The sequence below is a fragment of the Homo sapiens genome, chromosome 4, assembly GCF_000001405.40.
Source record: "Homo sapiens chromosome 4, GRCh38.p14 Primary Assembly".
NCBI lineage: Eukaryota > Metazoa > Chordata > Mammalia > Primates > Hominidae > Homo > Homo sapiens.
The window spans coordinates 2,180,585-2,207,292 of NC_000004.12; the positions used below are offsets into that span (position 1 = coordinate 2,180,585).

General features: G+C 40.1%; 1 protein-coding gene across 1 annotated transcript in view, besides 1 other annotated feature; it reads right to left on the minus strand.

Moving 5' to 3' along the window:
- The window catches only part of POLN (DNA polymerase nu), a 170,204-nt gene that overhangs the window by 108,667 nt on the left and 34,829 nt on the right, over nucleotides 1-26,708 (minus strand). The window contains exons 6-7 of the mRNA NM_181808.4: nucleotides 17,940-18,133; nucleotides 12,620-12,732 (exon numbers count right to left, since the gene is read on the minus strand). Coding sequence (NP_861524.2) covers nucleotides 12,620-12,732; nucleotides 17,940-18,133 — 307 coding nt within the window. The remainder of the gene's footprint in view (nucleotides 1-12,619; nucleotides 12,733-17,939; nucleotides 18,134-26,708) is intronic.
- Nucleotides 5,847-6,019: a silencer, noted in NCBI's record as "fragment chr4:2188158-2188330 (GRCh37/hg19 assembly coordinates)". NCBI's record gives its function as "represses an EF-1alpha promoter that drives an FKBP-Casp9 reporter gene in an ReSE screen in K562 erythroleukemia cells {active_cell/tissue: K562}" and the evidence as "EXISTENCE:reporter gene assay evidence [ECO:0000049][PMID:32094911]".

Here is a 26,708-nt window from a genome sequence, read left to right on the forward strand (position 1 = left end):
GAGGAGCACATGTCTCCGTCAGCAGCACATGATTTTCTACAACACTGTCTGGTGATGCGGACTGACCCAATAGGACTGTTTCACTCCACTTCCCTTTTCAATGCTTTAATATTCCAAAAGTAATGGTTATCAACATATGTTTTTTAAAATCCTTGGGGAAGCTCTGACAGTATAAGAATGCTCTGGGAGATGGTCCCTATAATCTCTTGCAACTGACAAACTGAAGCCTGCCAGGACAAATCCCACACTAGGGAGAAAATGCCAGTAGCTGAAAAAGAAATGCTAACAAAATAAGATTTAAAACAAACTCAGAAAATTAAGAAAGAGTAAAACCTGTAAAAAAGTAAGTAAATCCGAATAATATACTTAGAAATTAGGTGACTTAGAAAAAGAAAAATTATACAAAGAAATGACAGAATCTAGGAGAGAAAATTTAAAAAAAGAAGACATTTCAGAAATAAAAACTAAACTGGCGCAAGACACAAAAGCAAATAAACATAATAGCTAACTACTTAAAGTAAAAAAAAAAAGAATTAAGGAAAGGGAATTTTTTGTTTGTTTGTTTTGTTTGTTTTTTTGAGATGGAGTCTTGCTCTGTTGCCCAAGCTGGAGAGCAATGGCATGATCTCGGCTCACTGCAACCTCTGCCTCTCAGGTTCAAGTGATTATCCTGCCTCAGCCTCCCGAGTAGCTGGGATTATAGGCACCCACCACCATGCCCAGCTAATTTTTGTTTTTTTTAGTAGAGATGGGGTTTCACCATGTTGGCCAGGCTGGTCTTAAACTCCTGACCTCAGTTGATCTGCCCACCTCAGCCTCCCAAAGTGCTGGGATTACAGGCGTAAGCCACTGTGCCCAGCCAAAAAAGACAGAATATTTTTTTAAATAAAAAAGAATCAAGTCCAACAGAACTTAAAAATAAAATAAAATAAAATTTTAAAAAATCTAAAAGAAATGACGAAACTGAAAATGGATTCTGGATAAAAAATGATAAATATGACAAAAAGATAAATATGAAAGACAGACAAGAAGATTCAACATATGAAATAGGAAATCAAAGGAAAGAAAACAAACGAACACAGCACTAAACACTGTAATTCAAGATGACTTTAGGCCGGGCATGGTGGCTCATGCCTGTAATCCTAGCACTTTGGGAGGCCGAAGCAGGCAGATCACGAGGTCAGGAGAGGCAGATCACGAGGTCAGGAGATTGAGCCCATCTTGGCTAACACGGTGAAACCCTGTCTCTACTAAAAATACAAAAAATTAGCTGGGTGTGGTGGTGGGCACCTGCAGTCCCAGCTACTGGGGAGGCTGAGGCAGGAGAATGGTGTGAACCCAGGAGGCGGAGCTTTCAGTGAGCTGAGATCACGCCACTGCACTCCAGCCTGGGCAACAGAGTGAGACTCCGTCTCAAAAAAAAAAAAAAAGATGACTTTAAACTACATAAAGACATATACATAATCAATACAGCGTAGTATCGACACAGAATAGACCTACAGATCAGTGGAACAGAATCAAGAGTCTAGAAATAAACCCATACATCAGTGGTTGATTGATTTTCAACAAAGGTACTAAGAATGGTGTTGGATACCAACAATGGGTGGAATTGTGGTCCTCAAAAGATAACTCCACCCAGAATCTCAGAATGGGAACTTATTTGAAATAAGGGCCTTTGCAGATACAATTATGGTAGGAATCTTGAGATGAGATCATCTTAAGTTAGGGTGAGCCCTAAATCCAATGATGGGTGTCCTTATGAGAGACAGAAAAGAAGGTGACATATAGAGACATGCAGAGGGAAAAGGCCACATGAGGATGGAAGCAGAGACTGGAGGGATGTGTCTACAAGTCAAGGAGTGAAAAGGACTTCCAGCCACCACCAGAAGCTGGGGGAGAGTCACAGAATGGATTTTCCCTCAGAGACTCCAGAAGGAACTGCCAACACCTTAATTTGGACTTCCAGCCCCCAGAACTGTAAGAAAATAAATTTTTGTTTTAAGCACTTAGTTTATGGTAATGTTACAGCAGACCTAGGAAACTAATACAGACCCCTACCTCACACCATATGCAAAAATTAACCAAAAATGGATCATAAGCCTAACCTCAGAGAGAATATGATTAAACTTGTATGAAAAAAAATGAGTAAATCTTTCTGACCTTGGATTAAACAATAGTTTCTTAGATTTGACACCAAAAACACAAATAACAAAAGAAAACACAAATAAATCGGATTTCCTTAAAAAAAAAAAAGTGTGCTTCAAAGGACATCAAGAAACTAAAAAGACAAGTCACAGATTGGGAGAAAGTATTTGCAAATTGTATATCTGACAATAAACTCATATTAGAATATATAAATAATTCTTACAAATAAACAATAAAAAGACAATGCAATTTTAAAATGGGCAAAATATTTGAACAGACATTTCCCCAAAAAAAGATATAAAAGTGGCCAATAAGCACATGAGAAGATGTCCAATATCATTAGGCATCAGTATAATACAAACCAAAACCATAAGGATGTAACACTTCACATCCACTTGGATGACTAAAATAAAGATACACAAGAACACGTATTGGGCAAGGATGTGGGGAAGTTACAGTGCTATATACAGTGCTGGTTAAAATGGTGCAGCCTTGTTGGAAACAAGTTTGGCAGTTCCTCAGAATGTTAAATACAGAGTACCACATGACCCAGCAATTCTACTTCTTCTAGATATACACGCAAGCAAGTTGAAAATATGTCCACGCAAAGACCTTTACACCAAAGTTCATAGAAGCATTAATCATAACAGCTAAAAGTGAAAACAACTCAAATGTTCATCAACTGATGAATGAACAAAATATGAATATTATTCAGCCATAAAAAGGAATAAAGTACTGATACATGCCACAACTTGAATGAACCTTTAAAACACTAGGTTAAAAACCAACAACAACAAAAAGCTACATCAGGCTAAATGAAATAAGCTAGTGACAAAAGGTTGCATATTGTGCAATTCTATTCATGTTAAATATTCAGAATACACAACTCCAGAGACAAAAAACCACAGATTAGTGCTTGCCAGAGTCTGAGAAAGGGGGGATGGGGAGTGGCTGCTAAGGAGTACAGGGTTTTTTTTTGGGGTGACAAAAATGTTCTGATATTATGTAGTGGTGATAGATGCACAATTCTGTGATTACTTGAAAAACCCCTGAATTGTACAGTTAAAGAGTGAATTTTATGGTATGAAATTATATCTTAATAAAACCGCTATTTTTTAAAGCTATACCAGAAAGCTATTTACAAGGTGTTCTTTTTTTCTTTTTTTTTTTGAGACAGAGTCTTGCGAGATCTCTGCTCACTGCAATCTCTGCCTGCCAGGTTCAGGTGATTCTTCTGCCTCAGCCTCCTGAGTAGCTGGAACTACAGGCGCACGCCATCATGCCCGGCTAATTTTCATATTTTTAGTAGAGATGGAGTTTCACCATGTTGGCCAGGCTGGTCTTGAACTCCTGACCTCAGGTGATCCACTCGTCTCCGCCTCCCAAAGTGCTGGGATTACAGACGTGAGCCACCGTGCCCAGCCAAAGTTTTTTTTTTTTTTTTAAGGGTACATACATATCTTGCAAAATTGACCCAAAACAGCCAACACCAAGACACAGTCTAGTAAAACACTAGACTTTAAAAAAAAAAAGGAAAACAAAACAAACAAAAACCTTTGGACATTCAGACAAAAAGACCAAGTCACTAATTAGGGAAAGAGAATCAGATTTTCACCACACTTTCTGAAAGCACCACTTTATGCCAAAAAACAATAGTATAGCATATTTTAGAAATACAAAGAAAGATGTAAACCAGTGATCTTATATACAGCCAAACTGACCTCCAAGTACAAAGGATTCTTCAGTATGTTTTAAAGGAGATCAATAAGGTTAAGTAAAAACCCTGTCATCCTGAACATGAATTAGAAATATCAGTATGAACTCACAGTATATTTTATCTTAAAAAAAAATACAAACATCTTAGCCTGGTAACAAAAGTCAACCTAATAGTGAGGTACATATCCAGTGACCAGATTCTGGTCTCTAAATGCCATTTTCACTAATGTAACAGGGCTCCTTGAAGAAATGGCTAATTTCAGGTCTAGAGCAGGAAATGCACAAGATGACCTGGAAACATCCTACCATACCACAAATCAAAGAAGATGCCCAGATTACTAGGTTTGTATGACAAAGGCTCACCTAACTCATCAAAGATCATGTGCAATGTGTCAAAACATATCAAATATATTTAAATCCATATGCTCATAATGATACTAAAATGAAAAAGGCTTTTTTTGATCACCTTTTGGTGATTCTATGAAACAATTCATTATTTTGAAAACGGGTAAATAAAGGAAAATAATCAAATTTTATCTTGGCTTTTCTATATGAAGTGTACTTAGGGTAACCAAATAGATGATAAAAGGGGATTTCTCTTTATGTAAGTGTTATAGCTAATAAATGAAGAAAGCATAATAGATCTTAAATATCACCATGTTGCAATTAAGGAACCTAGACAATGACAAGCAGTAGCTTCTAACATCACAAAAAAAGATAAACATCCAAACATTATATACCTCCTGACAAACGTATACAACACTTATGTAGTCTTTCTCTCCCAAATCTAACCTGAATCTGATCAGGCATCTGGATCTAATTGCCAATTTACAGGAAATAGAAGAGAGATAACATATTAAATGAGAAGAAAGAGATGTGCTCAGTAAAATCCAGACTGTGAGAAATTCTACAGGACAAACAATCTGGTTTCTTGAACACCAAAACAACTGCAAGAGTGTAAGACAGAGGAAGGGAGAACATATAGATGAAAAGAGGCTTAACAAATACAAGCACACCTGGCTGGGCGCGGTGGCCCATGCCTGTAATCCCAGCACTTTGGGAGGCCGAGGCAGGCAGATTACTTGAGGTCAGGAGTTCGAGACCAGCCTGGCCAACATGGTGAAACCCCTCTCTACCAAAAATATAAAAAATTAGCCAGGCATGGTGGCACGTGCCTGTAATCCCAGCTACTCAAGAGGCTGAGTCAGGAGAATTGCTTGAACCCAGGAGGCAGAGGTTGCAGTGAGCCAAGATTGCACCATTGCACTCTAGCCTGAGTGACAGAGCGAGACTCCATCTCAAAAACAAACAAATAAACAAAAAGAAATACAAGTTACGGGCTTTGGGCCCCAGTTAAAACAAACTGTAAAAAAACAAAACAAATAAACAAAAACAGTTATAGAACAACTAGGGAAGTGCAAACACTGACTAGACAGCTAATAATAAAAAGAGATTATTGGTAATAGAGTGATGTTACCAAAATGGTAGAACACAAGAAAGCCGGCTTCACTCTCCTTCACAGAAAAAGCAAAAACCAATATACAGCACCAAGATTATCACCAGCAATATCCCAGAACCCAAATATAAGGATGACACAGTTTCCAAGGCCACACAGAAGTGAAAAAACTCCATGCAGACAGTAAGAGAATCAGACTTTATGTCCCTTCCCCAATCTGCCAGTCACCAAACATGTAGAAAAACTTCTCCCAATTCAGTTACTAAACTGAAAAAAGTGAGACTGAGGTGGACAATCAACTTTCCCATCATCTTGGGCCCCCTGGCAGGAGACCCGTCCCTGCCACAATCCACAGGAAGCATCATGAGTGTCTGAAGGGAGAAATATCCCTGAGGACAGCCAGAAATGGGCAGTGGTAGAGACTAGCAGACACTCGGCTCTGTACCATAGACAGAGGAGACACCAAATCAGAAAGGCTGGTCAGTAGGACCATGTTGTAGGAGGTACATCCTACAGGTCCCCTGGGCATGAACTCCCGGCTAGCCTTCCCATACTGCGAGGTATTCCCTTAGGGACTTTCCTCATCAGGGATGGGGAGCGCTCTGAAGTTTGCTAGAGCCGAGGCACACCTGGGCTTAAGGTGCCACCTAGTGCTGAAAAGGAAGCAAGGACCTAGCAAAAACAAAAAGATATTTAACAGGTATATTGACCAAAAATCTCTGAGCAAACATACCTAATAAAAAACCAAAACAAACCAGACAGAGAAGATTGGAACAAAAAAACGAATCCTTCAATGCAAAGAAATAGACGTACATTCACAAGAAATAATAGCAAGTGGGGAACCATGACATTCTCAAACCAGACAAAGCAAGGAGCCAGTGACTGACCTTAACAGGATGGCGACAGTGAAGCTCTTTGATCAAGAATTCAAAATTGCAGTTTTAAGGAAACTCAGTGATCTCTAAAATAACACAGAAAAACCCAGAAATTAATCAGAAAAATTTAACAGAGGTTGACTTAATTTAAAAAATCAAACAGAAATCCTGGAACTGAGAAATATATTTGCTGAACTGAAAAATTCAATAGAGGCTCTCAACAGCAGAATGGATCAAGCAGAGAAAACAATCAGTGGGTCTGAAGATAGACTACTGGAAAAGACACAGAGGAGTAAAAAGAAAAGAGAGAAGAGAAAAGAAGGACACCTATAAGATATAGAAAATTGCCTCAAAAGAGCAAATCTAAGAATTAGTGGTGTTCAAGATGAAGCAGAGCAAGAGCAAGGAATAGAAAGCTTATTCAAAAAATAATAACAGAAAACTTCCCAAATTTTTTGTTTGTTTGTTTTGTTTGTTTGTTTGTTTAGATGGAGTCTTGCTCTGTTGCTCAGGCGGAAGTGCAATGGTTTGATCTTGGCTCATTGCAACCTCTGCCTCTTGGGTTAAAGTGATTCTCCTGTCTCAGCCTCCCGAGTATCTGGGATTACAGGTATGTGCCACCATGCCCGGCTCACTTTTGAATTTTTAGTAGAGACAGGGTTTCACCATGTTGGCCAGGCTGGTCTCGAACTCCTGACCTCAAGTGATCCACCCGCCTCAGTCTCCCAAAGTGCTGGGATTACAGGCATGAGCCACTGCGCCTGGCCCAAATCTTGAGAAAGATATAAATATCCAGGTAGAGGAAGGCCAGAGATCAAACAGATTAAACCCAAATAAAACTACCCTATAATCACCCAAATATAACTACCCTATATTACACTACACATATAATAAACAAGCCCCCAAAGGTCAAGGACAAAGAAAGGACCCCAAAAACAGCAAGAGAAAAGAACAAATAACATATAAAGGAGCTCCAATTCATCTGGCAACAGGTTTCTCAACAGAAGGAGGGAGTGGGATAACCTATTCAAAGTGCTGAAAGAAAAGACAACTGCCAGGCTTGGTGGCTGACACCTGTAATCCCAACACTTTGGGAGCCCAAGGCAGGAGGATTGCTTCAGGCTAGGAGTTCAACAGCAGCCAGGACAACATAGTGAGACCCCTGTCTCTACAAAATAAAAATAAAAAAATTATCTGGGTGTGGTAGAACACACCTATAGTCCCGACTACTTGGAAGGCTGATGCAGGAGGATCACTTCAGCCCAGGAATTTGAGGTTACAGTGAGCTATGATCACACCACTGCATTCCAGCCTGGGTGACAGAGTGAGACCCCATCTCCCTGCCAACCCCTCCCCAATAAAAAGGAAAACAAAACAAAAGACAACTGTCACCCAAGAATTCTGTGCCCAGCAAAGCTATCCTTCACACGTGAAAAAGAGATAAAGCCCCAGACAAACAAAAACTGAGGAAATTCATCACCACCAGACCCATCTTCCAAGATATGCTAAAAGGAGTTCTTCAATCTGAAAGAAAAAAACACGGGCCGGGCGCAGTGGCTCACGCCTGTAATCCCAGCACTTTGGGAGGCCGAGGTGGGCAGATCACGAGGTCAGGAGATCAAGACCATCCTGGCTAACACAGTGAAACCCCATCTCTACTAAAAATACAAAAAAATTAGCCGGGCCTGGTGGCGGGCGCCTGTAGTCCCAGCTACTCGGGAGGCTGAGGCAGGAGAATGGCGTGAACCTGGGAGGCGGAGCTTGCAGTGAGCCGAGATTGCGCCACTGCACTCCAGCCTGGGCAACAGAAGGAGACTCCATCTCAAAAAAAACAAAAAACAAAAAAACAAAACAAAACAAAAAAAAACCACGAACATACAAAAAGAAAACATTTGAAGGATTGAAACCCACTGGTAAAAGTAAATACACAGACAAACTCAGCATACTCTAACACTGAAATTGTGGTATGCAATCCACCATAACTCCAGTGTGAAGATTAAAAGATAAATCTATAAAAAACAGTAATAGCTATGGTAACGTGTTAAGAGATGGGCCATATAAAAACACATAAATCGAGGCAACAAAAAGTCAAAATGTGTGTAGGGGGTGGAATTAAAGTGTAAAGATTTTTTAGTTTTTCCTTTATTTGTTTGTTTCTATTCTTTTCTTTGTAAATAAAGATAAGTTGTCATCTGTTTAAAACAACTTGTTATAACTATAAGATTTTTTTTGTAAGGCTCCTTTTTATTTTTAGTGTATTTATTACTGGTTTTTGTAACCACAAAGCAAAAACCTATAATAAATACACACACACACAAAAAGCTACAAATTAAAAGATACTACCAGAGAAAATCACTTAACCACAAGTAACAAAATGGTAGTAATAAGTCCTCACCTACCAATAACATTGAATGTAAATGGACTAAATTCTTCAATTAAAAGACATAGAATAGCTGAATGGATAAGGAAATAAGACACAACTATTTCCTGCTTACTAGAAACCCACTTTACTTATACAGACTTACATAGAATAAAAGTGAGGAAATGCAAGAATTAATATTGTTAAAATATCAATGTTACCGGCCAGGCACAGTGGCTCACGCCTGTAATCCCAGCACTTTGGGAGGCTGAGGTGGGTGGATCACGAGGTCAGGAGAACGAGACCATCCTGGCTAACATGGTGAAACCCCGTCTCTACCAAAAATACAAAAAATTAGCCAGGCATGGTGGCGGGCGCCTGTAGTCCCAGCTACTTGGGAGGCTGAGGCAGGAGAATGGCGTGAACCCAGGAGGCAGAGCTTGCAGTAAGCCAAGATTGTGCCACTGCACTCCAGCCTGGGCGACAGAGAGAGACTCCATCTCAAACAAAAAAAAAAGAAAAAAAATCAATGTTACATGAAGCAATCAAAGAGTCAATGCAATCTCTATCAAAATACCAACCAATGACATTCTTCACAGAAATAGGACAAAAAGGCCAGGCGCGGTGGCTCACGCCTGTAATCCCAGCACTTTAGGAGACCAAGGCGGGTGGATCACGAGGTCAGGAGATCAAGACCATCCTGGCCAACATGGTGAAACCCCGTCTCTACTAAAAATACAAAAATTAGGTGTGGTGGCGAGTGCCTATAGTCCCAGCTACTTCAGAGTCTGAGGCACAAGAATCACTTGAACCCAGGAGGTAGAGGTTGCAGTGAGCTGAGATCACGCCACTGCAATCCAGCCTGGCAACAGAGCAAGACTCCATCTCAAAAAAAAAAAAAAAAAAAGAAATAGGACAAAAATGCCTAAAATCTGTATGGAACCAAACACCCTGAATAGCCAAAGCAATCATGAGCAAAAACAACAAAGCTGGAGGAATCACCCACACTACCTGACTTCAAATTATACTACAAAGCTATAGTAACCAAGACAGCATGGTACTGACATAAAACCGACACGCAGACCAATGGAACAGAATAGAGACCCCAGAAATAAATCAACACATTTACAGCCAATTCATTTTTGACAGGCTCCAAGAATATATATTGGGGAAAAGTGCTGGGAAAATCACATGCAGAAGAATGAAACTAGACTCCTATCTCTCACCATATACAAAAATCAAATCAAAATGGATTAAGGACTTAAATCTAAGACCTGAAACTATGAAACATCTGGAAGAAAACATTGGGAAAATGCTCCAGTGCATTTGTCTGGGCAATGATTTTTTTTTTTTTACTACAACTTCAAAAGTATAGGCAACAAAAGCAAAAACAGACAAATGAAATTACATCAAGCAAAAGCTGTACAGCAAAGGAAACAATAGAGTGAACAGACAACTCACAGAATGGAAGAAAATATTTGCAAACTATCCATCTGATAGTGGATTAACAACCAGGATATAAAAGGAACTCAAACAGCTCAATAGGGGGAAAACATGATTTAAAAATAGGCAAATGATTTGAATAGACATTTCTGAAAAGAAGATATACAAAAGGCCAACAAGAATATTTAAAAATGTTCAACATCACTAATCATAAGAAAAATGCAAGGAAAATCACAATGAGATATCATCTCACCCCAATTTAAAACGACTTTCATCAAAAAGATAGGGAATAACAGATACTGGTGAGGATATGGAGAAAGGGGAACCCTCATACACTATTGGTAGGAAAGTAAATTAGTACAGCCACTATGGAAAACAGTACGTAGGTTCCTCAAAAAACGAAATAGAACTACCATATGATCCAGCAATCCCACTCCTGGGTATATATTCAAAAGAATCAACATATCAGAGCGATATCTGCATTCCCATGTTACTGCAGTACTATTCACAATAGCCAAAATAAGGAATTAACCTGAGTGTCCATCAACAGATAAATAAAGAAAATGTGGTATTACTATTCAGCCATAAAAAAGAATGAAATCCTGTCATTTGCAGCAACATGGATGGAGCTGGAGATCACCATGTTAAGTGAAATAAGCCAAGCACAGAAAGATAAATATCGCTCATATGTAGGAGCTGAGAAAGCAGATCTCATGAAGGTAGAGTAGATTGGTGGTTACCAGAGGTCAGGAAGGGTAAGGGGGCGGTGGGTGGGATTAAGAGTAGTTGATTAACGGTTACAAATACATAGTTAGGCAGAAGAAAGAAGACCTGGTGTTCAGTAAATCAGTAGAGTGACTATAGTAAACAATAATCTATTGTATATTTCAAAATAGCTAGTAAAGGAAAATTCAAATATTCCCAGTATAAAGAAAAGATAAATGTTTAAGGTGATAGATATCCCATTTACCCGGATTTGATTATTACACATTATATGAATGTATCAAAATATCACAAGTTCCCCCAAAATATGTATATCTATTATGATTCAGTAAAATTTTTAGAAGGAAAAAAAAGAATAAAAGATTATTGGTTATTTTGCTTGGGGGTGGGGAGAGATGATGGTGTTGTCTTAAAAACAGAATCTCACATTTTAGTCATACAATTGAAATATTTAGAGATGAATCACATGATGTTTGGGTTTTGCTACAAAGGATCCAGGAAGTGGCAGTTTGGAAGTATGGGGAGTTATAGAGCAAAAGATTGGCTGGAGCCAGGCGCAGTGGGTCACTTTGGGAGGCCGAGGCGGGGAGATCACAAGGTCAGGAGTTCAAGACTAGCCTGGCCAGCATGGTGAAACCCCATCTCTACTAAAAATACAAAAATTAGCCACTCATGGTGGCGCACACCTGTAGTCCCACCTACTCGGGAGGCTGAGGCAGGAGAGAATCACTTGAACCAGGGAGATAGAGGTTGCAGTGAGCCAAGATCATGCAACTGCACTCTAGCCTGGGCGACAGAGCGAGACTCCATCTCAAAAAAAAAAAAAAAAAAAAATTGGCTGGAAATTGATAATTGTTGAAACTGGGTGATGCCTACTTTTGTATATGTTAGAAATTTTTGACAATAAAAAGGGCTTTTTCCAACATTTATTATGAACATTTTCAAATATATAATTTGAAAAGAATCATACAGTGAACACACATGTCCACCACCTAGATTCTACAATGAATATTTTTGCTATATTTGTTTTACCACTTAGCTGTCCATCTAGTTTTTTTATTTCTCCTGAGACGGAATCTCACTCTGTCCCCCAGGCTGGAGTGCGGTGGCTCACTGCAACCTCCACCTCCTGGGCTCAAGCAATTCTCCTGCCTCAGCCTCTTGAGTAGCTAGGATTACAGGCATGAGCCACCAAGCCTGGCTAATTTTTGTATTTTTAGTAGAGACAGGGTTTCACCATGTTGCCCAGGCTGGTCTTGAACTCCTGACCTCGTGATCCGCCTGCCTCAGCCTCCCAAAGTGCTGGGATTACAGGTGTGACCCACTGTGCCCGGCCATGTCCATCCAGTTTTCAAAAAGTTATTAAAAAAACTTTACTATTTTAGGCCCGGTGCAGTGGCTCACGCCTATAATCCCAGCACTTTGGGAAGCTGAGACAGGAGGATGGCTTGAGGCCAGCAGTTTGAGACCAGCCTGGGCAACAAAGTTGGACTCCATCTCTAAAAAAATAAAAATATATATATATATTTAAAATCTTTACTATTTTAAATAAAAGGTAGGTCCTATATTGTTTTGATGTTAATTACTCTGGACTGTAGTTTAATTCTTAGAAAGTTTATAAGCTATTTGTGGTAACAAGAAATCTCACTGACCATGCTACATAAGTTAACTCTTTCCTATTTTAAATTATGAAAGTAATATATACTTGTAAAAATTCAAATAACCTAGAAACATGGAGGAAAACTTCCTCCCCATGCCTAGGGCCCATCAGGAGGCATATCAGTCTGTGTGGCCAGGTCCTCCAGGAGTTGTGTGACATGGCTGCCCTCACCATTCTCCCATTCATAGGAGGAGTCACAGTTGAAGAGTTAAATTATAGAGAGAATAAAAAATATAACTTACCATGCTTCCAACTGCCATCATTGCCAAAAAACTGCAGCACTATTCTCACAAAATCCTTAGCATTAAAACAAATAACAGGACATTTACATTTCATTGTTTGAAATAGCACGTTCCTAGAAGATGAAAAGAAATTCACTGATTTAAACATTAATTTGGGATTTTCGACCTTGGAAAAATATTATTACTACTCAACTAACAGCTATCACTTAGATAGCACATACACACATTCACTAAAGAATTCCAAGAGGTCACTGTTATTTATCATCTGCGTTTTACAGATGATGAAAGTGAGACACAGAGAGACGAGATAAGGTACCCAAGGTCACGCAGCTGTCAAGTGCTTATCCCTGGGAAACACCCCATTACCTGTAGAATAAGACCTACATTCCTGAGCAAAGTACACCTACTCTGGGCTCTTTAGAGCCAGGCCCCAAGATGACTCTCTAGCCCGTTCTCCCAGAGCTCCCCTCAAACATTCTACCCTCTCGTCGCACTAAATTCCCTTTCCTCCACCACAGGCTGTGCCACGTCCTGCTTTGCTCCTGGGTCACTGTATATACTGTATTCTTGACTACAATTCTCTTCCCACAGTTTTCACAAACTGTTCAAGGGCCATCTTCAGGAAGGTATGCCCTAATTCCCCAGGCAGGGGGCTGCTCCCTCTTCTGTATCTCTTCTGTACTCCTATCCACACATGTAGTACAGTGGGAAGTACACTTGCTGTATTATAATGTGCCTTGAACGTTTGTCTCTCCATTACACCATAAGCACTTTGAATATGGGACTCACAATTGTTAAAATTGACTGAATACTTACCATGTGCCAGATACCACGCTGGACACTTCGCAGCATTGTGTGTGAAGTGATTGTTGCACTGAAACCTCATCACTATCCTATCTGGCATGCACTAGAACCATTTTACAGATGAGAAAACTTAGTCTTGAAGAGGTTAAGCAATTTGGCCAGGGTTAAATGACTAACAAATGGCAATGCTGGGATCTGAGACCATATCTTCCTGCTGCCAGGGTCCAAACTCTAAGCTACCAAAGCCATCAATCCCTCTTTATAGTAAATGTTCATTAACACATTAAGATTCTTTGGTTAGAGCTGAGGAAGAAAGAAATCAAGAGCCTAATGAGCTTTGCACACTTAGCCAAACTGCAGTTAGATTTTGCTTGGACTTGTTCCACAGAAAGACATTTGTAGGCCTTTTGCACTTTGTGTGATTTCACCTTGGTTTCCCTTGAAAAGGGCGACCAGGATGGTAGGGAGGGTAAAGCGCCAATAACACAGCTTCAGATCTTGGCTTGGCTGGACCGGTGAGGAGGGTGTCCAAGAGGGAGTAAAGAGCTTATGAAGGAGAAGAACTGGGGCCATGGAGATCACTTCCCTTTACTGCTCCTTCATCCTTGAAACTCAAGAGTTCTGTGATGAGGTAATCTACCAACTACACTATCTTCCGCTAATAAGAGATTATTTTTATCTTGATAAAACAAACAACAAAAAGAATACCTTGTAAGCTAAATGGCAATTAGCCAGGCGTGGTGGTGCATGCCTGTAGTCCTAAAGTCCTAGCTACTGGGGTGAGGTTGCTGAGGAGGGAGAATCACTTGAGCCTGGGAGGTTGAGGCTGCAATGAGTCATGATCACAACCACTGCACTCCAACCTGGGCGACAAAGAGAGACTCTGGCTCTTAAAATAAAACATGTATTTATGTATATGTATATACATGCACACATACATATATATATTTATATATATAAAAGCTAGATTTGAGGCTTCCTCCTCTGTAAAATGGAGTGAATAAGGTATAACAAACGTACAGAGAGAATGTGAAGGTGAAGGGAGAGTGTGTATGTGAAAGGCCTTGCACAGGTCATTTAATAAATGTTATTAAACATGTTTTTGTGCAAAAAAGTATGTGTGCTAATTTAAATGTGATTTATTTAAATTTATTTTGAATCTCAAAGATATAATCATAGGATTGGGATTATTATTTCCAATTTATGGTACTTGAGGCAATGTATTAATTTGATTGTCCTAGAACTTATAAAAATTAAGCCTCAACATTCATTCATTCAATGATAATATTGAATAAATATTGATTAAGCACTTGCTTTGTAGCATTGTTCTTAGATATTGGGGATACATTAATGAACACACTACTGAACACAAATGAAAGTCATGTGGTGGGGTTGGCAGTGGGGTACCATCTCATACAGGGTGGTCAAGGAAGGTCTGATAAGGTAATTCTGTTTTTTTTTTTTTAGCTTGGTAATTCTTTTTTTTTTTTTTTTAAGACAGGGCCTCACTCTGTCATCCAGGCTAGAGTGCAGTAGTGCAATCACAGCTCACTGCAGGCTCAAACTGCTGGACCCAAGCGATCCTCCAACATCAGCCTCTAGAGTAGCTGGAACTATAGGCACATGCCACTGTACCCGGGTAATTTTTAAATTTTTTGTAGAGATTGGGTCTCACTATGTTGCTCAGGCTAGTCTCAAACTCCAGCCTCAAGCCATCCTCCCACCTCAGCCTGAGCCACTGTTCCTAGCCAAGGTAACTCTTGAGGAAAGACATGAAGGATAAGGTAAACAAAAGCCTAGTTGGTAGAGGAAAGTTCTTTACAGGAAATTTTAGCCACTAAATGTGGAAGAAATGATAGAATTAGAAAAATCACCATCTTACTAGCCGGAATTAAATAAGTGATTTAGATGATCCTAATCAATGGACAAAACCATTAAGGGAAAGTTTGGGGGAGAAGTTTATAAGGAAGGGATCGTGTTGACACCACCTGAACCCACTGCTCCCTCTCAGCACCATGAAAACTGGGACAACCCAATTGCATCACTAAGGGAAGTCAGGAGGATACCAGTTAAGTCTGAATTTCAGAAAAATCATGAATAATTATCTGAAAAAAATCGAATATTTTTTAGGGATGTATTCTTCTAGTATAAGTATGTCCCATGCAATATTTGGGACATACGTATACTAAGAAATTAGTTATTTATCTGAAACTCAAATTTAGTGTCCTATATTTTAATTTGCTAAATCCGGCCATCCAACTGCATCACAGATGGAGTATGAAGCTTACAGCTCCACCTAGGAAGTGCTGCGCAAAACAAGCTGGACCCAAATAATCAAGCATTTAGAGCTAACTCCAGTTTACAGAAAATATGGAGAAGAGGAGACAGAACAAGTGAAAGAACTTCATGATGAGGCAAACAAATGAATCCAGGACACGGGACCTCCTCCAAGATAGGGAGAGGGGCTGAGGAACGCTCCAGATTAGAAAAAACTAGGGACATGGCCACCCAATGCTATGTCCTGATCCCAACAAGTCAACTGTAGAAGGACATTTTTGAGACAATCAGGTAGCTTCAAATTTGGACTGCGTACACAACTTGTTAAGTTTAAAAATGGCACTGTGGCTCTGGAAAAAAAAAAAAAAAGCCCATGGTTTTTAGAGTCATGAGAGGGCAAAACAATAGATTGGGAATTTCTTTAATCCCAGTCCTCTCCCCCTTCCCCAGGAAAGGGACAGAAGGAAGTAAGGAAAAACCTTTGATAATGTTGGCCTGGGTGGATGTATATACTACTCTGTACCTTTGTGTTTTCATAGTTTACTTTTTGTTTGTTCAGAGAAAAACATAAAGGAATGAGGCAGTAAACCATGCAGCTATTTGGGAGAATGCTGCAGGGAGGGATGGTGGCACCAGGCCCTTGGGTAGAGGCGCACACCACATGGTCAGGAACGGCAAGGAGGTGGGAATGCACTGAGAGGCCGGGAGAGAGGAGGAGGTGAGGTTGAAGACAGCGGAGGGGCCAGAGTAAGCAGACCTCGAGGGCGAGGGCCTTCATAGGTCCTGTGGCTTTTCTACACTTGATCTTAGCCAGAAGACCAAGAAGCAGTGATGTGGGGTTTTCCTCAGAGTGAAGCACGAGCTGTTTGAGGGTTTGGGACAGGGAAGTGATGTGATCTGATTTATGCTTTAACAGGCCAGCTCTGGGTGCTGCACAGAAAACAGACTGAAGGGGCAGGTGGAAGCAGGAGTCCAATGTGGAAGTTCTTGTGATCCAGTAGGAGGTAACAACTTGTGCCGAGTAACAGCAACGCAGTGGATAAGCAGAGGGCAGATTCTATCTACACTTGAAGGCAGAGCCAATAGGACTTGCTGAGAGCTTGATATGGTTTGTGGAAAGTAGAGAGAAGTCAGAGATAACCCCAGGACTTTTTGCCTAAGCTCATGGAGGGCTGACACTGACTAAGACAGCCAGGCCACAGGAGGCAGGGTCCAGGGAAGACAGGAGTTCAGTTTGGACATGTTTGCCTAAAATGACCACTAGACATCCAAGTGGACAATGTCAACTAAATTCAGAAACATCATCCAGATATTAGGGCTCTGTCCTCACAAGGGCTCTCCATACACTAGACCTGACCAGTTGTTCTTTAAAGAGAAAATTACATAAAAAGAAAATGAAGGGTTCTGTTGGGAGCTGAATGCTATGTTTGTCACACATTCCCCTTCTCCCCAAAAGTTACCTAAAATCACCCAGAGCCCAGTGAGCCTGTATGAAGCATGGACAGGCTAGTAACGGGGCCCAACTTCCTCCGGAGCTGCCTTGATTGCCTCTTCCAGGGTGGCTAATTGGCCTTAAATCAGAGGGCTGGGAAGGCAGTGGATACCTCCATTTGAGGCAGAAGCCCAAGTCATGTGGATAACCTAAGCAAAGAAACAGTGAGGAAGAGTACAAGATCCATCCCAGAAAGGGCTTTTCAGAATCCAGAAGGGACGGCAGGAGCAACCCCGCCTGCTCTAAAATTCTGTGATTCTAAGAGGGCCGGTCCAAAGAGGTGAGACAGGTCTTGCCTCTTTCCACAGACATGGAGCTTTGAAACTAGTCCCATCCTTGGTGGTATTAAGGACAATTTATTGTTTGCAGGCAGTGATAACTTTGTTTTCTAATGCTGTGAATGAATGAACAAGTATGATAAGGAAAATCATCTGGGACTCTGCCAGTGACAGGGGATTTTCAGGGTCTGGGGGTGATGCTTTTCTCCCTAGCTTCTCACTGTGAAGTTGCTTCAAGTCCTGGAGCCGGCTGCTCCCACAGAAGAACGGAACTCCATTCCAGATACTCTCTGGGAGAGAGAGGGCCAGTATTTGCAGAGATTTCTATCACTTGGATCCATTTTATTTTCATGTGCCCATACAAAACTTCTAAAAGTTTAAACTATTAAAACTGGACCTTGAGCAAGTTTCCATTAGTATAAAGCAGGCATGTAAGTAGGGTGTGAGCCCATGTGTGAAGATTTCTTACCGGGCAAATTGTTGATGTGCCTCCTGTTCTTGGTCCCAGATAGCAGAGTGCTCTATTTGAATGTAGATGCATGGATCATCTGACACAAAGCCCTCCAGAACAGGACCACAGGCCGGGGCATCTGGACAGCCATGGCCACCCTCTGCTTGGCGTTTTACTAACACCACAATTCCTCTAACAGAAGAAACGGGGGTCTGTGGAAACACAACAAAATAAATTAAACCCAGACAACATATCTGTTGTAGAAAGACATACATTTTAAAATTAAGCAGAGAGAAAGAGAAAAGGCCTAAAATTAAACTTGTAAATGAATAGTTTTTTAATGACAATTGAGGGCCAAAAGCCAAACCCATGACCTTATGCTCGAAATCTGGTCTCTACCCTGTCCAACATCATAATGGAAGTCTCATCCAGGGCAATATGATAGGAGAAAGGAATAAAAGGCAAACACATCAGAAAGGAAGCATCATACTTTCCCTATTAACAGATGGCATGAATGTCTGTGTAGAAAATCTAAAGGAACCTATAAAAAACGAATCCTGGAGCTAATATGTGAATTTAGCAAGGTTGCAGGAACCAAGATCAAAGCACAGAAATTTAATATATTTTTATATTCTAGCAATAAACATGTGAAAATAAAATTTTTTAAAACGACCATTTATAAAACTCTAAAAAGTGAAATACTTAAGTATAAATGAACAAAATACATACAGGATATGTATGCTGAAAACTATAAAATGCTGATGAAAGAAATCAGAGAAGACCTAAATAACGAAGACATATAATACTCAAGGATTTAAAAACTCAACATAATAATGTTTGTCCTTTATCCCCAAGTTAATCATTAGAACCAAGAAGATCAATAAACCTCAAGTACAAGGAACATGAAGAAAACTACACCAAGAAAAATACATCAACATCATTTGCTTAAAACCAGTGATAAAAGGGGGTGGGTGGCGAGAGAACACATTACATAGATAGAAACAAAGATAAGGATGACAGCAGATTTCTTTGTGGGAAATAAAGCAACTCAGAAGATGGTATATATATACTTTTATTTTATTTTTTTTAGACATGGAGTCTTGCTCTGTCGCCCAGGCTGGAGTGCAGTGGCGCAATCTCAGCTCACCACAACCTCCACCTCCCAGGTTCAAGCAATTCTCCTGACTCAGCCTCCAGAGTAGCTGGGACTACAGGCACACACTGCCACACCCAGCTAATTTTTTTTGTATTTTAGTAGAGACGGGGTTTCACTGTGTTCCAGGCTGGTCTCGAACTCCTGAGCTCAGCCAATCCGCCCACCTTGCTCTCCCAAAGTGCTAGGATTACAGGTGTGAGCCACCACACCCAGCCAACAGTTGAGTAATATTATGAAACTACTGGAAGAAAATAAACTATCAACTAACATTCTTTAACCAGCAAAATGCCTTTAAAAAAATGAAAGGTAAAGCAAGACTTGCATACTACACTGAAAACTATAAAACATTCCTACAGGAAATTAAAGTTTTAAATAAATGGAGATACTCCATGTTTATGGATCAGAAAACTCAATACTATTATATTAAGATGGCAAGACTCGCAAAATTAATCTATAGATTTAACACAATTTATATCAAAATTCCAGCTGGATTTTTGCATAAATTGACAAACTGATCCTAAAACTGACAAGCAAAGGAAGCACAATACCCAAAAGAATCTTGAAAAAGACAAAGTTGGAGGACTCACTCTTCTTGATTTCAAAACTTACTATAAAGCGCCAATAATCAGAGAGAATTAGGAGATCATGGCAGATGGGAGGCAGGACTAGATTGCAGCTCCCACTGGGACAGACAGAGCAGAGTGTGGAGGCTTGCATCGTGAACTTTTGCTCTAGAATGACTACAAGAATAAATCAGGAAAGCAGAAAGAACCCACAGATCCTTTGAAGGAAGCAGATTGCTCCTGCTCCCAGGAGACACCCCAAATACTGTGTTGGTATCCACAACCGAAAGACCCACAGACGGTTCACATCACAGGACTCTGTGCAGACAAGCCCCAGGACAGCTTGGAGCCTGGTAGACTTGCTGGGTGGCTAGATCCAGAAGACAGATAACAATCATTACAGCTCAGCTCTCAGGAAGCCACATCCCTAGGAAAATGGGGAGAGGACTACATCAAGGGAACACCCCATTGGATAAAAGAATCTGAACAACAGCCTTGAGTCCTAGACCTTCCCTCTGACAGAGCCTACCCAAATGAGAAGGAACCAGAAAACCAACTCTGGTAATATGACAAAACAAGGTTCTTCAGCATGCCCAAAAAATCATACTAGCTCACCAGCAATGGATCCAAACCAAGAAGAAATCCCTGATTTACCTGAAAAAGAATTCAGAAGGTTAGTTATTAAGTTAATCAGGGAGTCACCAGAGAAAGGCAAAGCCCAGTTTAAGGAAGTCAAAAAAATGATACAAGAAATGAGGGGAGGCCGGGCACTGTGGCTCACGCCTGTAATCCCAGCACTTTGGGAGGCCAAGGCAGGCAGATCATGAGGTCGGGAGATCGAGACCATCCTGGCTAACATGGTGAAACTCCATCTCTACTAAAAATACAAAAAATTAGCCGGGCGTGGTGGCACATGCCTGTAGTCCTAGTTACTCAAGAGGCTGAGGCAGGAGAATCGCCTGAACCCGGGAGGTGGAGGTTACAGTGAGCCCAGATCATGCCACTGCACTCCAGCCTGAGTGACAGAGTGAGACTCTGTCCCCCTACCACTCCAAAAAAAAAAAAAAAAAAAAAAAAAACGAGGGGAGAAATTTTCAATGAAATAGATATAGATGGCATATATAAAAAAAAATCAAAACTTCAGGAAACAATAGATGCACTTATAGAAATGCAAAATGCTCTAGAAAATCTCACCATTAGAATCAAACAAGCAGAAGAAAGAACTTCAGAGCTCAAAGACAAGGTTTTCAAATTAACCCAATCCAACAAAGACAAAGAAAAAAGAAAAAGAAAACATGAACAAAGCCTCCAAGAAGTCTCGGATTATGTTAAACAACCAAACCTAAGAATAATTGGCATTCCTGAGGAAGAAGAGAAATCTAAAAAATTTGGAAAACATATTTGGGGGAATAATCAAGGAAAACTTCCCTGGCCTTGCTAGAGACCTAGACATCCAAATACAAGAAGCTCAAAGAACACCTGGGAAATTCATTGCAAAAAGATCATTGACTAGGCACATTGTCATCAGTTTATCCAAAGTTAAGACAAAGGAAAGAATCTTAAGAGCTATGAGGCAAAAGCACCAGGTAACCTATAAAGGAAAACCTATCAGATTAACAGCAGAAACCCTCCAAGCTAGAAGGGACTGGGGCCCTATCTTCAGCCTCCTTAAACAAAACAATTGTATCCAACGAAACTAAGCTTCATAAATGAAGGAAGGATGCAGTCCTTTTCAGACAAACAAATGCTGAGAGAAATAGCCACTACCAGGCCAGCACTACAACAACTGTTAAAAGGAGTTCTAAACCTTGAAACAAATCCTGGAAACACATCAAAACAGAATCTCTTTAAAGCATACATTTCACAGGCCCTATAAAGCAAAAATACAATTAAAAAAACAAAACAAAACAAAAAAAACAACGTATACCAGCAACAAATAGTACAATGAATGGAATGGTACCTCACATCTCAATACTAACGTTGAATGTAAATGGCCTAAATGCTCCACTTAAAAGATACAGAATTGCAGAATGGATAAGAATTCACCAACCAACCATCTGCTGCCTTCAAGAGACTCACCTAACACATAAGGACTCACATACACTTAAGGTAAGAGTGGAAAAAGACATTCCATGCAAAGGGAGACCAAAAGCAAGCAAGAGTAGCTATTCTGATATCAGACAAACAAACTTTAAAGCAACAGCAGTTAAAAAAGACAAAGAGGAGACCAGACTCATGCCTGTAATCCCAGCACTTTGGGAGGCCCACACGGGCAGATCACTTGAGGTCAGGAGTTCAAGACCAGCCTGGCCAACATGATGAAACTCCGTCTCTACTAAAAATACAAAAATTAGTCAGGCGTGGTGGCTTGCTCCTATAGTCCCAGCTACTTGGGAGGCTGAGACAGGAGAATTGCTTGAACCTGGGAGGCAGAGGTTGCAGTGAGCCAAGACTGTAGCACTGCACTCCAGCCTGGGTGACACAGCAAGACTCTGTCTCAAAAAAAAAAAAAAAAAAAAAAAAGACAAACAGTAAGATGATATAATAACAAAAGGCCTTGTCCAACAGGAAAATATCACAATCTTAAATATATATGCACCTAACGCTGAAGTGCCCAAATTTCTAAAACAATTAATAGACCTAAGAAATGAGGTAGACAGCAAAGCAGTAATAATGGGGGACTTCAATACTCCACTGACAGCACCAGACAGGTCATCAAGACAGAAAGTCAACAAAGAAACAATGGATTTAAACTGTACCCTGGAACAAATGGACTTAACATATATTTACAGAGCATTCTACTCAACAACCACAGAATATACATTCTATTCATCAGTGCATGGAACTTTCTCCAAGATAGACCATATGATAGGCCACAAAATGAGCCTCAATAAATTTAAGAAAATTGAACTTATATTAAGCACTCTCTCAGACCACAGTGGAATAAAACTGTAAATCAACTCCAAAAGGAACCTTCAAAACCATACAAATACATGGAAATTAAATAACCTGCTCCTGAATGATCACTGGCTCAAAAATGAAATCAAGATGGAAATTAAACAATTCTTCAAACTGGGCCGGGCGCGGTGGTTCACGCCTGTAATCCCAGCACTTTGGGAAGCTGAAGCAGGTGGATCACAAGGTCAGGAGATCGAGACCATCCTGGCCAACATGGTGAAATTCCATCTGTACTAAAAATACAAAAATTAGCCAGGTGTGGTGGCTTGCTCCTATAGTCCCAGCTACTTAGGAGGCTGAGACAGGAGAATTGCTTGAACCTGGGAGGCAGAGGTTGCAGAGAGCCAAGATTGTACCACTGCACTCCAGCCTGGGTGACACAGCAAGACTCTGTCTAAAAAAAAAAAAAAAAATCTTCAAACTGAACAACAATAGTGACACAACCTATCAAAACCTCTGGGATAGCCCTAAACACCTACATCAAAAAGTCTGAAAGAGCACAATCTAAGGTCACACCTCAAGGAACTAGAGAAACAAGAACAAACCAAACCCAAACCCAGCAGAAGAAAGGAAATGACCACGATCAGAGCAGAACTCAATGATATTGAAACAAACAAACAAAATACAAATGATAAATGAAGCAAATGCCAGGCACAGGGGCTCACGCCTGTAATCCCAGCACTTTGGGCGGCAGAGGAGGGTGGATCACCTGAGGTCAGGAGTTCGAGACCAGTCTGACCAATATGGTGAAACCCCATCTCTACTAAATACAAAAAATTAGCCAGGTGTGGTGGCACATGCCTGTAATCCCAGCTACTGGGGAGGCTGAGACAGGAGAATCACTTGAACCCGGGAGGCGGAGGTTGCAGTGAGCTGAGATCGCGCCATTACACTCCAGCCTGGGTAACAAGAGCAAAACTCTATCACAAAAAAAAAAAAAAAAAAAAAAAAAAGATAAATGAAACAAAAGGCTGGTTCTTTGAAAAGATAAATAAAATTGATAGACCATTACCAAGATTAACCAAGAAAATAAGAGAAAAAATCCAAATAAGCTCAATTAGAAACAAAATGGGAGATATAACAACTGACACCACAAAAATGAAAAGATCACTCAAGGCTACTATGAACAACTTTACACACATAAACTCGAAAACCTAGAGGATATGGATAAATTCTTGGAAAGATACAACCTTTCTAATTTAAATCAGGAAGAATTAGATGTCCTGAACAAACCAATAACAAGCAGTGAGACTGAAATGGTAACAAAAAAATTACAAATAAAAAAAGTCCAAGACCAGACAGATTCACAGCAGAATTCTATCAGACATTCAAAGAAGAATCAGTACTGATCCTATTGACACTATTCCACAAGATAGAGAAAGAGGGAATCCTCACTAAATCATTCTGTGAAGTCAGTATCACCCTAATACCAATACCAGGAAAGGATACCACCAAAAGAGAAAACTACAGACCAATATCTCTGATGAACATAGATGCAAAAGTCCTTAACAAAATACTAGCTAACCAAATCCAACAACACATCAAAAAGATAATCCACCATGATCAAGTGGGTTTCATACCAGGGATGCAGGGTTGGTCTAACATACGCAAGTCAATAAATGTGATATACCACATAAACAGAATTAGAAGCAAAAATCACATGATCACCTCAATAGATACAGAAAAAGCATTCAACAAAATCCAGCATTGCTTTATTATTAAAACTCTCAGCACAATTGGCATACAAGGGACATATCTTAATGTAATAAAGCCATCTATTATAAACCCACAGCCAACATAATACTGAATGGAGAAAAGTTGAAAGCACTCACCCTGAGAACTGGAACAAGACAAGGATGCCCACTCTCACGACTTCCTTTCAATATAGTATTGGAAGTCCTAGCCAGAGCAATCAGACAAAAGAAAGAAATAAAAAGCATCCGAATCGATAAAGAGGAAATCAACTGTCACTATTTGCTGATTATATGATTGTTTACCTAGAAAACCCTAAAGATTCCTCCAGAAAGCTCCTAGAACTGATGAAAGAATTCAGCCAAGTTTCTGGATACAAAATTAAGGTACACAAATCAGTAGCTCTGCTATACACTAACAGTGACTAAGCTGAGAATCAAATCAAGAACTCAACCCCTTTTACAATAGCTGCAAAAAAATAAAATACTTAGGAATATACCTAACCAAGGAGGTGAAAGACCTCTGCATGGAAAACTCCAAAACACTGCTGAAAGAAATCACAGATGACACAAACAAATGGAAGCACATCCCATGCTCATGGAAGGGTAGAATCAATATTGTGAAAATGACCATACTGCCAAAAGCAATCTAAAAATTCAATGCAATTCCCGTCAAAATACCACCATCATTCTTCACAGAACTATAAAAAACAGTCCTAGGCCAGGCATGGTGGCTGACACCTGTAATCCCAGCACTTTGGGAGTCCAAGGCAGGTGGATCACAAGGTCAGGAGTTCGAGACCAGCCTGGTCAATATGGTGAAACCTCGTCTCTGCTAAAAATACAAAAATTAGCCGGGCGTGGTGGCACGCACCTCCCAAGTCCCAGCTACTTGGGAGGCTGAGGCAGAAGAATCACTTGAACCCAGGAGGCAGAGGTTGCAGTGAGCTGAGATTGTGCCACTGCACTCCAGCTTGGGCGACAGAGCGAGACTCTGTCTCAAAAAAAAAAAAAAAAAAATCTTAAAATTCATATGGAGCAACAACAACAAAAAAGCCCACATAGCCAAAGCAAGACTAAGCAAAAAGAGCAAATCTGGAGGCATCACAGTACCTGATTTCAAACTATACTATAAGGCCATTGTTACCAAAACAGCATGGTACTGGTATAAAAATAGGCACATAGACCAATTGAACCAAATAGAGAAACCAGAAATAAACCCAAATACTTACAGCCAACTGATCTTTGACAAAGCAAACAAAAACATAAAGTGGGGAAAGGACACCCTATTCAACAAATGGTGCTGAGATAATTGGCAAGCCACATGTAAAATGAAACTGGATCCTCATCTCTCACCTTATACAAACATCAGCTCAAGATGGATCAAGGACTTAAATTTAATACCTGAAACTATAAAAATTCTAGAAGATAACATGGGAAAAACCCTTCCAGAAATTGGCTTAGGCAAGGATTTCATGACCAAGAACCCAAAAGCAAATGTAATAAAAACAAAGATAAATAGCTGGGACTTAATTAAACTAAAAGGCTTTTGCATAGCAAAGGGAATAGTCAGCAGAGTAAACAGACAACCCACAGGGTGGGAGAAAATTTTCACAATCCATACATCTGACAAAGGACTAATATCCAGAATCTACAATGACTCAAACAAATTAGCAAGAAAAAAGCAAACAATCCCATCAAAAAGTGGGCTAAGGACATGAATAGACAATTCTCCAAAGAAGATATACAACTGGCCAACGAATATATGAAAAAATGCTCATCATCACTAATGATCATGGAAATGCAAATCAAAACCACAATGTAATACCATCTTACTCCTGCAAGAATGGCCATAATCAAAAAGTCAAAAAATAATAGATATTGGCATGGATGCAGTGAACAGGGAACACTTCTATACTTCTGGTGGGAATGTAAACTAGTACAATCACTATGGCAAACAGTGTGGAAATTCCTTAAAGAACTAAAAGTAGAACTACCATTTGATCCAGCAATCCCACTACTGGGTATCTACCCAGAGGAAAAGAAGTCATTATACGTAAAGGATACTTGCACGTGCATGGTTATAGCAGCACAATTTGCAATTGCAAAAACGTGGAACCAACCCAAATGCCCATCAATCAAGGAGTGAATAAAGAAACTGTGGTATATACATATGATGGAATACTACTCAGCCATAAAAGTGAATGAATTAATGGCATTCACAGTGACCTGGATGAGATTGGAGACTACTATTCTAAGTGAAGTAACTCAGGAATGGAAAACGAAACATTGTATGTTCTTACTTATAGGTGGGAGCTAAGCTATGAGGATGCAAAGGCATAAGAATGACACAGTGGACTTTGGGGACTCAGGAGGAAAGGGTGGGAAGGGGGTGAGGGATAAAATACTACAAATTGTG